Genomic DNA, 13,787 nt, shown 5'->3' on the forward strand with positions numbered 1-13,787 from the left:
TAGAACCAGAAATACCATTTGACCCAGCAATCCCATTACTGAGTATATACCCAAAGATTATAAATCAGTATGTTTATTGTGGCATGATTCACAATAGCAAAGACTTGGAATCAACCCAAATGCCCATCAGTGATAGACGGGATAAAGAAAATGTGGCACATATACACCATGGAATACTATGCAGCCATAAAAAGGATGAGTTCATATCCTTTGCAGGGACATGGATGAAGCTGGAAACCATCATTCTCAGCAAGCTAACACAGAAACAGAAAACCAAACACCGCATGTTCTCATCATAAGTGGGAGTTGAACAATGAGAACACATGGACACAGGGAGTGGAACATCACACACCGGGGCCTGTCGGGGGGTGGGGGGCTAGGGCAGAGATAGCATCAGGAGAAATACCTAATGTAGATGACAGGTTGATGGGTGCAGCAAACCACCATGGCACGTGTATACCTATGTAACAAACCTGCACATTCTGCACATGTATCCCAGAACTTGAGTATAATAATAATAAAAATAAAAAAGAAAACTTACAGCCAACATCATACACAAAAATGAGAAGCTGAAAGCTTTTCCTCTAACATCAGAAACAAAGCAAGGATGCCCACTCTTGCCGCTTCTGTTCAACACAGCACTAGATGTCCTAGACACAGAAAACAGGTAAGAAAAATAAAAAGCATCCAAAGAGAAAAGGAAAGGTAAAATTCTGTGTTTGCAGATGAGATGTTGTCATATGTAGAAATCCCTAAAGATTCTGCACACACACAAAAAAAACTCTTAGAATAAATCAGTTCAGCAAAGTTGCAGAATACAAAATCAACAAACAAAAATAAGTTGCCTTTTAATACAGTAACAGTGAACAATGTGAAAAGGAAATTATGGAAATAATTCCAGTTAAAATCAAAGAGAATAAAATACTTAAGGATAGCCTAATCGAGGAGGCATAAGACTTATGAACCAAAAACTACAAAACACTGCTGAAGGGAATTAAAGAAGACACAAACAGGCAGGGCGCGGTGGCTCACGCCTGTAATCCCAGCACTTTGGGAGGCTGAGGCGGGCAGATCATGAGGTCAGGAGATCGAGACCATCCTGGCTAACACGGTGAAACTCCATCTCCACTAAAAATACAAAAATTAGCTGGGCGTGGTGGCGGGAGCCTGTAGTTCCAGCTACTCGGGAGTCTGAGGCAGGAGAATGGTGTGAACCCGGGAAATGCAGGTTGCAGTGAGCTGAGATCATACCACTGCACTCCAGCCTGGGTGACAGAGTGAGACTCCATCTCAAAAAAAAATAAAAAATAAAATAAAAATAAAAAGACACAAACAAATGGAAAGACATCTTGTGATCACAGATTGGAAGACTTAATATTGTTAAACTGTGCATACTACCCTAAGCAATCTACAGATTCAATGTAATCTCTATCAAAATCCCAATGGCTTTTTTTTATAAAAATAGAAAAATACACTAAAATGCATACATAATCTCAAAGGACCCAGAACAGTCAAAACAATCTCGAGAAAAAAAAAGAAACTAGAGGCCTCACACTTCTTTTAAAATATATTACAAGGTTACAGTTATCAAAACAGCATGATAATGCATAAAAAAACAGACATATAGACCAATGGAATAGAACAGAAAACCCAGAAATAATCCCTAAGGTATATGATTAAATGATCTTCAACAATGGTGGGAAAGCTACACAAGAGGGCAAAAAGAACAGTCTCTTCAACAAATGGTGCTAGAAAAATTGGATATCCACATGCAAAAGAATGAAGTTAGACCCTTACCAATACTACTATATGCAAAAATTTACTCAAAATAGATTAAAGACCTAAACATAAAACCTGAAACTATAAAACTCATAGAAGAAAACAGGGAGAAAAAAGTTTATGACATTGGATTTAGCAATGATTTCTTAAACATGATACCAAAGGCACAGGCAGAAAAAAAGCAAAAATTGACAAATGGAACTCTATCAAACTTAAAAACTTCACAGCAAAGGAAATAATCAACAAAGTAAAAAGGCAATCTACAAAATGAGAGAAAATATTTGCAATCCATATATCTAGTTAAAAGCTGAAATTCGGAATATGTAAGATCTTCTACAACTCAATAACCAAAAAAGTAAAAAATAAAAAACCCAAACAAAAAAATTTAAAGATGGGCAAAGGACTTAAATAGACATTTCTCCAAAGCAGATCTGCAAATGGCCTGTAAGCATATGAAAAGATACTCAGTATCACTAATAACGGGGGAAATGCAAATAAAAACCACAGTGAAATATAATCTCACACCCTTTAGGATGGCCACTACCAAAAAAACAGAAAATGAATATTGGCGAGGATGCAGAAAAACTGGAAGCTTTGTCTGCTGTTAGTTGGAATATAAAATGGTACGGCTCAGCTAGGTGCAGTGGGCTCATGCCTGTATTCCCAGCACTTTGGGAGGCCAAAGCAGGCAGAACACCTGAAGTCAGGAGTTCAAGACCAGCTGGCCAACATAGTGAAACCCTGTCTCTACTAAAAATACAAAAACTAGCCGGGCATGGTGGTGCACGCCTGTAGTCCCAGCTACTCAGAAGGCTGAGGCAGAAGAATCACTTGAACCCAGGAGGCGGAGGTTGTGAGCCGAGATCGCACCACTGCACTCCAGCCTGGGCAACAGAACGAGACTCCGTCTCAAAAAAATACAAAAATAAAAAAATTAGCAGGGTGTGGTGGTGGGTGCCTGTAATTCCAGCTACTCAGGAGGCTGAGGGAGAAGAATCACTTGATCCCGGGAGACTGGGGTTGCAGTGAGCCGAGACTGCACTACTGCACTCCAGCCTGGGAGACATAGCGAGACTCTGTCTCAAAAAAATAATTAATTAAATAAAACGGTACAGCTGCTATGGAAAACATTATAGAAGCTTCTCAAAAAAATTAAAAATAGAATTACCATATGATCCAGTAATCCCACTTCTAGGTATACATCCAAAAGAAATGAAAACAGGATCTCAAAGAAATATTTGAACATCTATGTTCACTGTAGCATTACTGACAATAGCCAAGAGATGAAAGCAATCTGAATGTCCATCAAAAGATGAATGGATAAAGAAAATGCAGTATATACATAAAATGGAATAGTACTCAGCCATAAATAAGGAAACTTTGTCATATGCTACATCATGAATAAACCTTGAGGACATTATGCTGAGATAAACCAGTTACAAAAAGACAGCTACTTCAGGTATCTAAAATACTCAAACTTTTAGAAACACAAAGAATGGAGATTACCAGGAGCTGGAGGGAAGTGGGAGAGGGAAAAGGGAGCTGTTCAATGAATAGTTTTAATTTTGTAAGACAAAAAAAGTTCTAGAAAAATTAAAGAAAAAAAAAGATTTGGATATCTGTTCTGGAGATGTTGCACAAAATGTGCACAAATTGTTTTACTCTGTTCCTTTTACCAAAAGAGAAATTAACATTCTCCTTCCTTCCTCTCTCCCTCCTTCCTTCCTTCCTTCTTTCTTTCTGAGAATGCACTATTATACTGCATACTCAAAATGGGTAAGGTAAATTTTTTGTTATATTTTTGACAATCTAAAAAAAAAAAATCTCTGAACACCAAAAGCTTGGGGAGCTTTGGGTTGGCAATATTCTGCATACTGCCACACATTAAGATGCTAGCAAGACAAAACATTCCTGAGAACAGTGGAAACTTAGTGTTTGGGAACCCTCCCAGACCTTGTTGGCTGGTTATGATTTTTATATCCTTTGGCTATAATAAAACTGTAATACTAAGTTTAACATTTTCCTGAGCTCTGTGAGTCGTTCTAAGGAATTAACCCTCAAATTTGTAGCTAGCTAGTCAGAAATGAGGGTAACCTGGGGACCACCAAAATTGAGACTGGTGTCTAAAGTAAGGGCAATCAAGTGCAGGACTATGCTCTTAGCCTCTGAAGTTTAGCTAAACCATGGGCACTTAGTATTAGAACTCCTTTCAATATAAAAAAAAAACTTTTTTAAATAAAAGAATTCAGAGCCTTCTGAGGCTAAAGAAGAGAACATTAGCAAGTCTAAGTAAAGAGAAATGTTTGAAATGATGGTTTAATTTTCAGTTCCTCTATAAATTTCAAATGAAAGGGTATTCTTCGTTTTCTCTCTAGCAAGGCAGTGCATAATTATTAGCTTTTACAAAGATCTAAAGAGCAGGAAAAAATTCTGATTGAAGAAGAGGCGGTTCAGTTTTAGTCATGCCACTGAAATAGAATATAGACAAATCTACAGATAACCATAAAATATAATTTTATTCAACAGGAGAGGTACAGACCAACAAATCTTTAAAATATTCTAACATTTTAGTTTAGTTTTCTTTTCCCTTTTTTTTTTTTTTTTTTGAGACGGAGTCTCGCTCTGTCGCCCAGGCTGGAGTGCAGTGGTGCGATATGGGCTCACTGCAAGCTCCGCCTCCCGGGTTCACGCCATTCTCCTGCCTCAGCCTCCGGAGTAGCTGGGACTACAGGCGCCTGCCGCCACGCCTGGCTAATTTTTTGTACTTTTAGTAGAGACAGGGTTTCACCGTGTTAGCCAGGATGGTCTCGATCTCCTGACCTTGTGATCCACCCGCCTCGGCCTCTCAAAGTGCTGGGATTACAGGTGTGAGCCACCGCACCCAGCCTCTTTTCATTTTAGTTTTACTCTCTTTTTATACCAACTGGTAAAAGAAATGAAAAGCCACAGAGAAGGCAACACGAGGAGAAAAGTTAATATTAAATTCTCACTAAAGTAAAAATTAAGTCAACAATTGGTTATAAGTTAGAAAAAAAAGGAAACAATAATACATAGAAGAAAGTGGAGTCTCTATTTGTCTTAATTCCACAACCAATTAGAAAGAAACCAACTTGCATGGGTAAACGTTAAACAATGACTATAGTTCCACATTTAGTCAACACTGTAGAATGAATAGCTATTTCATGTTCAAACGACTTGGCTTCACTTTTAAATCTTAGTAATAAACTTTCAAAACAATTTCATTTCAAGCAAGTAGCTGAAATTTCAAATATATTAATAATTCTACTTTTCACTTTTTTTTTTTTTTATTTTGACACAGTCTCACTCTGTCACCCAGGCTGGAGTGCAGTGGTGCAATCTCGGCTCACTGCAAGCTCCGTCTCCTGAGTTCATGCCATTCTCCTGCCTCAGCCTCCCGAGTAGCTGGGACTACAGGCACCCCCCACCACGCCCAGCTAATTTTTTGTTTTTTTTGTATTTTTAGTAGAGACAGTGTTTCACTGTGTTAGCCAGGATGGTCTCGATCTCCTGACCTCATGATCCGCCCGCCTCAGCCTCCCAAAGTGTCGGGATTACAGGTGTCAGCCACCACGCCCAGCCCTACTTTTCACTTTCTTAACCTAAGTTCTTCTTCTCTTGTTGGTATTTTTTTAAATTTGCCTTAAAATAGGCTTAAATGTAAAAGGCTTAAATGAGAAAGCAGCCACATGATATAATAAAGATCTGTAGCAGGGCATCGTGGAATGCACCTGTAATCCCAGCTACTTGGAAGGCTGAGGCAGGGGAATCACTTGAACTTGGGAGGCGGAGGTTGCAGTGAGCAGAGATGGCACCACTGCACTCCAGCCTGGGCGACAGAGCAAGACTCTCAAAAAAATTAAAAATAAAAATAAAAAATAAAGATGTGTATTTAAAAAAAATCACACGAAGTAAAATTAGAATTCTTAAGCACATTTTATAACTATTTCAGGTAAAGTCAAAAATTGACACAGGAAAATGTCCCACTCATTTGCAGAAGACTGCAGTTGTTTTACCAGAAAAATAAAAGTAGTAAATGTGATTTATTAAATAGACTTGACTCAGACCAAAAGTACCCAACAGGCACTAGGCAAATGTTAAGAAATCTAATTTAACAAAGGTATCACACAGAGAGTAGGTACTTGAATTCACTTTCTGGCAAGCCAACCCCATAGAAGTTACCTCCCGGAATCAGGATGTGAAAGGTACTAAAGACCAGTAGAACCTATGATACATCTCCTAAAAACAAGTCAGTAATAGAAGTAATTGTTTTCTGTTTTGTTTTAGTTTTGCTTTGCTTATTCTTTTTTTTTCTCTTCAACTTTTAAGTTGAGGTGTACATGTCCAGGATGTGTAGGTTTGTTACATAGGTAAACATGTGCCATGGTGGTGTGCTGTACAGATCATCCCATCACCCAGGTATTAAGCCCAACATTCACTAGCTATTCTTTCTGATGCTCTCCCTCCCTCCACCCCCACCCCGACAGGCCCCAGTGTGTGTTGATCCCCACCTTGTGTCCATGTGTTCTCATCATTCAGTTCCCACTTTTAAGTGAAAACACACGGTGTTTGGTTTTCTGCTCCTGCATTAGTTTGCTGAGGATAATGGCTTCCAACTCCATCCATATCCCTGCAAAGGACATAATCTCATTCCTTTTTTATGGCTGCAGAGTATTCCATGGTGTATATGTACCACATTTTCTTATCCAGTCTATCATCGGTGGATGTTTAGGTTGATTCCATGTCTTTGCTATTGTGAACAGTGCTGCAGTGAACATACCGATGCATGTATCTTTATAACAGAATGATTTATATTCTTTTGGGTATATACCCAGTAGTGGGATTGCTGGGTCAAATAGTATTTCTGCCTCTAGGTCTTTGAGGAATTGCCACACTGTCTTCCACAATGGTTGAACTAATTTACACTCCCGTCAACACTGTAAAGGCATTCCTTTTTCTGCAAAACCTCACCAGCATCTGTTGTTTTTTGACTTTTTAATGATAGCCACCTGAGTGGCATGAGATGGTATCTCATTGTGGTTTTGATTTGCTTTTCTCTAAAGATCAGTGATGAGCTTTTTAATCACATGTGTGTTGGCCATATGTATAGTTTTTTTTTTTTTTTTTTTGAAACGGATTCTTACTCTGTCGCCCAGACGGGAGTGCAGTAGCACAACCTCGGCTCACTGCAACCTCCACCTCCCAGATTCAAGCCATTCTCCTGCCTCAGCCTCCCAAGTAGCTGGGATTACAGGAACTCACCACCATGCCCAACTAATTTTTTTATTTTTAGTAGAGACAGGGTTTCACCTTGTTGGCCATGCTGGTCTCAAACTCCTCACCTCAGGTAATTCGTCCACCTCGGCCTCCCAAAGTGCTGGGATTACAGGCGTGAGCCACCACACCCAGCCTGTGTCTTCTTTTGAGAAGTGTCTGTTCATGTACTTTGCCCCCTTTTTAATGGGGTTGTTTGCTTTTTTTCTTGAAAATTTGTTTTAAGTTTCTCATAAACTTTGGATATTAGACCTTTGTCGGAAGGATAGATTGCAAAAATCTACTCCCATTCTGCAGGTTGTGTGTTCACTATGATGATAGTTTCCTTTGCTGTGCAGAAGCTCTTTAGCTTAATTAGATCCCATTTGTCAATTTTTGCTTTTGTTGCAATTGCTTTTGGCGTTTTCATCATGAATCTTTGCCCGCGCCTATGTCCTGAATGAATGGTATTACCTAGATTTCCTTCTAGAGTTTTTATAGTTTTGAGTTTTACATTTAAGTCTTTAATCCATCTTGAGTTAACTTTTGTATATGGTGTAGGGAAGGGGTTCAGTTTCAATTTTCTGCATGGCTAGCCTGTTCTCCCAGCACCATTTATTAAATAGGAAATCCTTTCCCCATTTTAACAAAAGCAATTTCTAATGATTAGTTAATTCCCATGCATGGGACATTAACTCAATCACAAGTGCTCTTTGTAGTTTAAATAGGTGACTAATTTTTGTTGTTCAACAGAGATCTGTCCACAGGGATTCCCAAAAACATGGCTATACCCCAAAAAGTAACACCAACCAACTCTACATTGGTCTAATGTGATAATATCAAAGAATTTATAATGTCTTCGGTCAAACAGTTTTACTGGTACTACAGTATTTTTAACCTGAATTATAACCACGTATTATTAGTAAGCAAGTATTAAAATAAAAACATTTTATCCTCAACAAGACCTAAATAGTTGTCAGGAAATTCAAGTTCATAAGATGAACTCAAATTTGATCCTTTTCCCAAATGCCTTAAACATATCTTTAATAATACATATTCAGTATCCTACCTTTACTACAATAAAGATGAATTACTATGGATAGAACTCCTATCTCAATTCATCCAGGTATTTATACCTTGTTTCTGGCTACTGTAACAAAAAGTAAAAACATAACTAACAAAATGACAGATGCCGATATATAATGTCAATGAAAAGAAAAATAAAATGTAGTGAAAATAAGTGAATGTGTAAAAATATAATTTATGTAAATTTTGGGTAATATATGAGGTTACTGTCATGGGATTTTTAAAATAACTTACAAACTAAATTCTATCACATAGAATATCACTTAAGAATAAAACAATGCTTCTTAATTTTATATTCTGAGTGGATTTTTACTACCATCTAGTGTTATATCTTTAGAAATACTTCCTTATAAAAATTAAAAGTTGCAAAAGACATATCATTCAAACATTAATAGATTTAATTGTAAATAAGAAAAATCACAATACAGAAAGTTGTTATTTTTAAAAAAGTTGTTCTACATAAGAAAATTATTTTCATGACTCTTAAAATTTTTGTTACTCTAAATTCTACACAATTAATGTTCTACATGAAATCCGTACTGGGGCTTTCAAATATATACCCAGTTGCTTCAAAAAACAAGCTAGTTAACACACAGATTCAGCTTGTAAAACCTAATACCCTCGAAAAACAGATAATTCTAGTATAAAATGATTATCAATGCTCTCTTCCAAACACCAGGTCTATAAAGGGATTTTCTCTTCACCAGAAGCTTTATGTTCAACATTTTAGGTTCCATAAAGAGAGGAGAGCTGTGCTAATGTAATACTCCTTAAAACCATATTGTTTGCTACTTAATGTCATCCCTCAATTTACCAAATATTGAATCATATAGTGAAACAAACCCGAAACTATTAAAAAAAAAAAAACAAACCCAAGAAGTTGAGAAAACAGAAGATGAGGCAATGGATACACATTCTTCTAGTGGGTTCAGCAACTTTCTCTTTCATTAGAATATTTTACTATGCTAGATATAATTTTCTCAATCTGGAGATGATCCAGAGATGATTTAAGCTGCTTTTAGTGAATTAACAATTTGAGAATCCCATGAAATTTATTACAGCAGAATTTTTCCTATAATTTTAAGATCATGATATTATATATCAAATTTTACGGCATTAAAGAAGCTGTTTTTTAAATGACATAAATATCATGCTCATGACATACAAACAGATTATAATTTGTACTTTTAAAATCTTTCCCACATAAATAGAAACAATAATGGACTTTTGAAATTGAATGTCATAAATTTATCCCGTATGTATCATGTCTACAATTACTCACTTGAAATGACCTTTCCATTGTTATTGCAAAGTAGTATTCTCTCCTGGGATATTTTCGCTCACAGACCAATACTTGATTGCATATTCTGCCCTTTTCTCCCGTTTGCTTGGTAAACAATTTTTTCCCAATCATTTGTGAAGAAACAGCTTTTGCTTCTTCTGGACTAAAATAAGAAAAAGAACTCAAATTTTTCTTTCCTCCAGTTGAGAAAAAGCAAATCCACATAATAGCCAAAATTTTATCTCATCTAATATTTAAATTTCAGTATTTTCATCAATTCAATAAGTAATCTTTAATCAGTCTTTAACAAGGATGATTTTTCCTTAAAAAATGTGACTTACGAGAAAACTATCTTCACTCCTCCTTTGAGGCCACTTTCAAATGTTCCTTTTCCTCTACCACCAGCTAAAACCTGTGCCTTTATCACGACATCTTTTGAACCTAGAAGAAAAACACTTCTATTAAATATGAAGCATGGAGCAGCATGCCAGACATAGTATTTTGTTATTTAACATACATATTGACAGGTGTTATTAAATCAAGTCTAATTTATTCACAATGTCCAAAAATAAGGCATTCTCTTTATGTAGATTTTCTAGATTAGAACACTAAAATAATCACTGTCTAAAAGGCCCACAATTTTCAAAATTCGTCACTTACATTAAACCATTTCTTTTTTTTTTTTTTTGAAACAGAGTCTCGCTCTGTCGCCCAGGCTGGAGTGCAGTGGCGCGATCTCGGCTCACTGTAAGCTCCGCCTCCCAGGTTCACGCCATTCTCCTGCCTCAGCCTCCCGAGTAGCTGGGACTACAGGCGCCCGCCACCATGCCTGGCTAATTTTTTTGTATTTTTAGTAGAGACAGGGTTTCACCATGTTAGCCAGGATGGTCTCGATCTCCTGACCTCATGATCTGCCCACCTCGGCCTCCCAAAGTGCTGGGATTACAGGCGTGAGCCAGTGCTGGGATTACAGGCATGAGCCACCGCACCTGGCCACATTAAACCATTTCTTAAAAGTAAACTGAAAATAATTTAACCATTTCTTGACACTTTGGAAAGTGTCATCTAGAACTCTGGAAAGTATCAAAAGTACAAAATTGAATTTCATGTCTTCCTAACACGTCCCTCCCTCTCTATTCACATGTAAACTTGCTGTCCTGAGAACATCTGAGTTATATCGCTATAGCAGGAATATGTCATGATTTGGGGGATATTACCATTACCAGTATTGATACTGATTTATACTGTCCCACTAAGAGAAAGTTCTATTAAAATACATTATTGAGCAGTACTGCATGAGTAGTACTATCAGGAGTTATTAAGGTATCTGTATCAAAAGATTTCAGAATTCTATGCTTGCAAAGCTTATGCATATTTTTAAATAAATGGACTGAATTTTTCTTCTTTAACAGGTAGACTGATTACTATTTATCCCTTTTCCTCTCCTTTCTAATTTGCTGTGGAAAACCAGCAAACTGGCTGTTTAGCCTAGATAGTACTCATCATTCATGATCAAGAGTAAATGGGCCCGGTGCGGTGGCTCACTCCTGTAATCCCAGCCCTTTGAGAGGCTGAAGCAGGCGGGTCACATGAGGCCAGGAGTTCGAGACCAGACTAGCCAATATGGTGAAATCTCATCTCTATTAAAAATACAAAAATTAGCCAGGCATGGTGGTACATGTCTGTAATCCCAGCTACTTGGGAGGTTGAGGCACAAGAATCACTTGAATCCGGGAGGCGGAGGTTGCAATGGGCCAAGATTGTGCCATTGCACTCCAGCCTGGAGGACAGAGCAAGGCTGTCTCAAAAGAGTAAATGCTCTGGGTGATGGGTATCCTAAATGCCCTGAATTGATCATTACACACTCTATGCATGTAACAAAATATAACATGTACCACAAAAATATTATGTATCAGTTAAAAAAAAAGAGTAATACCTCTTAGAAAGGCATTCTCTGTGTACCAGACAGGCAGAATTCAGAGCCTCCTCATTTTGCCTCTCATAGCATTTTGCCCACACTGGCAGGGTGGCACCAACTATACATTATGGCAAAATAACCTTTGAGATCAGGGCTAAAGGTCTCACTGTATTCATTATATCCCAAGCACAAGGAAGTCTCTGGGATATAACAACTACTCCATAAACATGGATTTGAACAGACTGAAGTAGAGTCCTCTACAACTAGGATGTCACTCCACGATGCATTTATCAAGCAGAATGAGAGGAAGCTCCCACCTAATCAGATGAACCAACCAAATCAATGAGGTAGGAAATGGAGTTTGAAACCAAACAAAAACAACCTAAAGTTTACACATTAACAATTATTTTAAAAGAACATTTAGAAAATTACTGATGTAAGCCTTCACCAGAAATACATGCTATTTAAACCAGATGATGACCCTATGCGTAGTCAGCCAAGAGAGTGTTTAAAAAACTTGTCTTTCTCAAACCCCACTTCCATTCAGCCAGGAAATCATACTGGTTCTATCTTCAAATTTATCCAGAATCTTCACCATTCCTCATCACCTGCAGTTTAGACTCTGATCCCAACCACCACTATCTCTTAACTATATGACCTTTGTCCCCCACAGAATATTCTCAAGGCAGCAGCCAAAGCAGGCACACCATTCCTCTACTTAAAACCTTGCACTGAATGCCAGTCTCACTCAGTTAAATGCCAAAGTGCTTACAATGGCCTAGAAGACCTTATAATACCCTCTACACTTTTTATCTCCTAGGCCCTCCTGGTTGCTCACTCTGTTCCAACTGCACTAATCCCCTCACTATTCCTGGGCATGTTCCTGCCTTCAGGACTTGGCTCTAATGCACCCTCTGCCTAGAATACTCTTCACCAGGTGTCCATGTGGGAAAAGCCCCCGATCCTTCAAGTTTCTCTTTAAATCTCATGTTGCCCATGAAGCTTACCCTACTAACCTGCCCACCTGTGACCAATCCCCCTTACCTACTACACTTCTTTCCGCCATAGAATTCATCATCTTCGTACATATGTAATTCTCTTACATATATCATTTGTTGTTTTGCTTCCCCATCAGAAAAGAGGCCCAGGAGGGCAGAATCTTTGTTGTATTCATAGATGTTAACAAGCGTCTGGGAGAGTTCCTAGCACATAATATTTTGCTGAATGTTGAAAAAAAGGAACATTTAAAAATATGAACAGAATTCTTATAAATCTAGATTTCTTCACTGCTCTTACGAAAACTCCCAATGGGAAAAACTGGGTGCACAGTACTACAACTAGAGCTGATTAGAAAAAGTATCTTGTTTAGATAAGACAAACCCTTTTCAATTACCCTGTCTCTACTATTCACAAATGTATCACAACTAATATTAGGTAACAAATAGAAACAACTCAGAAATTTCCTTAAAACCAACAATAACGTTCTTATTGAGAATACTACAGGTTGTCTCTGAACCATGGCAAATTAGAGAGTTTGTGCCCAAACGGAAGGGAGCAGCCACTATTTATTCCACTTGTTTCTGTTTACCTGTCCAGTCCTGATTTTCCAGCACTTTAAATATTTGTTTATATCCGAAGAAGAGAACTACAAGGCAAACAGTGCAAATGTAATGTAAAAAATGGTCATAGTTACACTGTGCTTTACTGAGCTAAATTCAATCATTCCTATTCATTAAACTGGGAACTTAACACATTGACCTATTAAGAGTAACGAAGCTCTATTTTTTCAAAAACACTTGGCAAGACAGAAGGTTCTTCTCTTCCCCGCAAAGTGTCAATTTCCTTTCTTTAGGAATATAAAGTCTTTAAGGGCAAAAGATGATTCTTCGAAAGTTCCTTCTAAAAAAAAAAAGCCCTTCACAACGAAAGCAAAAAAAAAAAAAAAAAAAAAATTTTTCATGAAATACAGTCTCATCAACTATCAAGAAAGGAAGAAAGATTAGAAGAGAAGTCTGAGGACAACTGGTCGAAACAAACATTTTATTCAATTCCATTAATTCACTCAACAGGTTCATCTACATACCAGACACTGTGCTAGCGTTGTAGATACAACAGTGAGTGAGACCTCTCCTGCCCTCATAGAACCTGCAGTCTTATTACATTTGGCACTGCTCTAGTCAGACAAGATCTTTTTTGGATCCCAAGACTGTCTCTAAAACACAATCACTATCCCAGCTACCTTTAGTCACTCACAAACATTTTAAGCATTCCTTGTATACAGGTATCTAACTAATAAATATTTAAAAGAAAGAAAGAAGGTAAAGTCCTATTATATGCCATTAGAAATCTCCCTCCGGGCTGACATTCATTAATCAGCACCCTTTACATGTATCTATTCAACCAGATAGGGATTCCACCTTAAATATACTAGAAGCCAAACTATCTTTCTAT

General features: G+C 37.6%; 1 protein-coding gene across 1 annotated transcript in view; it reads right to left on the bottom strand.

Annotated features, from left to right (window-relative positions):
* The window catches only part of SUCLA2 (succinate-CoA ligase ADP-forming subunit beta), a 58,618-nt gene that overhangs the window by 36,467 nt on the left and 8,364 nt on the right, over window positions 1-13,787 (bottom strand). The window contains exons 3-4 of the mRNA NM_003850.3: window positions 9,760-9,859; window positions 9,419-9,581 (exon numbers count right to left, since the gene is read on the bottom strand). Coding sequence (NP_003841.1) covers window positions 9,419-9,581; window positions 9,760-9,859 — 263 coding nt within the window. The remainder of the gene's footprint in view (window positions 1-9,418; window positions 9,582-9,759; window positions 9,860-13,787) is intronic.

Source organism: Homo sapiens, chromosome 13 (assembly GCF_000001405.40).
Source record: "Homo sapiens chromosome 13, GRCh38.p14 Primary Assembly".
Lineage (NCBI taxonomy): Eukaryota > Metazoa > Chordata > Mammalia > Primates > Hominidae > Homo > Homo sapiens.